This window comes from Homo sapiens, chromosome 2 (genome assembly GCF_000001405.40).
Source record: "Homo sapiens chromosome 2, GRCh38.p14 Primary Assembly".
Lineage (NCBI taxonomy): Eukaryota > Metazoa > Chordata > Mammalia > Primates > Hominidae > Homo > Homo sapiens.
Genome location: NC_000002.12, coordinates 213,251,011 through 213,252,181, shown reverse-complemented (window position 1 = coordinate 213,252,181; position 1,171 = coordinate 213,251,011). Strand labels below are relative to the sequence as shown.

The window sequence follows — 1,171 nt, the reverse complement described above, 5'->3', positions numbered from 1 at the left end:
TAATCTTCCCCATAAAAATTAAGTTGACTCTAACTTTCATGATCACCGTTACGTTATACATGCAATACTATTAAAGAGGGATAAGAAATATCAAAGGTGAGTAAAGAGTTTTAGTATCTTTACCATGAAGAGATAGATTTTTCTTAGCATCATTTATGTAAAATGTTGTTCTGTTGTGCCAGCAAAAGCAATACAATATTTAAAATCAAATTACACATCGAAGAATTTTAGACAACCACAAGAGAGCAATTAACAGTAGAGGTGTGAAGGAAATTTTGTTCTTTTAAATGAAAGAGTGGCGAAAGAATAAAACCTTGGTGTCATTTCCAATGAATAGTGACTTCCAAGATTGATTCTTGGATGGTAGTCCTGCTTTAAAAGAAAAAATGTGCGTCTTTTGAGCTGAGCCCACTCTGACTCAGCACATTGTTAGAGAATAACAATAGTGCCATCTACTGTCAAATTATGGTATCACTTATTTCAAACTGACTTAAATAGGGGGTTCCATCCAATACTGTAAAAGAAATCTTAAAATTATATAAGTAATATTTATCTAAAATATTCAAGAAAATGAAGAGACTCTTTCCACATAGGCAAGAATTTCGTTCTGTGCTTTCTTCCACTAGTTATTCTTCATGCTCTTATATATTACTTAAAGCACTGTTTTACAAGCGTTATAAAAAATAAATTGAAAATGTACCTTACATGGCAGCAGTAAAGATTTCATGGATAATTTTGAATTAATTGTCCCGTATTTCTAAGTTTATTTTTTCATTAGTTTCCGGGCTGTTTCCTAAATCTAATTAGCAATGTAATTTTCCTTGTTAAATTTGGAGAATTTGTTTTGGGAGACAACTGCACAAAGCAAGATAGTAAAAGAAACATATAGATGTGTTTATAACATTATGGTATTGCTGCTAAGCACTGTCAATAATGAGTTTTAAACGGTAATTGTGAATCCCTAATGTACTTTATATATTAACTATCCTATAGAAGAAAGTTTGAAGTCACAGAATAAATAGACCCCATACATGTAATTCTAATTAAAAGGCATACAGATTAATTGCATTTGTTATGGAAGTCACGAAGACCTTATAGACCTAGACAATGGCAAAAATTAAACAGGCATAGAAGAAAGTAATAGGCTTTAAGTCAAAGAATATTTTTTAAA

At 30.7% G+C, this 1,171-nt stretch overlaps 1 annotated feature.

Moving 5' to 3' along the window:
• Positions 506–555: an enhancer, noted in NCBI's record as "active region_17063". NCBI's record gives its function as "activates an Ori minimal core promoter by ATAC-STARR-seq in GM12878 lymphoblastoid cells {active_cell/tissue: GM12878}" and the evidence as "EXISTENCE:reporter gene assay evidence [ECO:0000049][PMID:35858748]".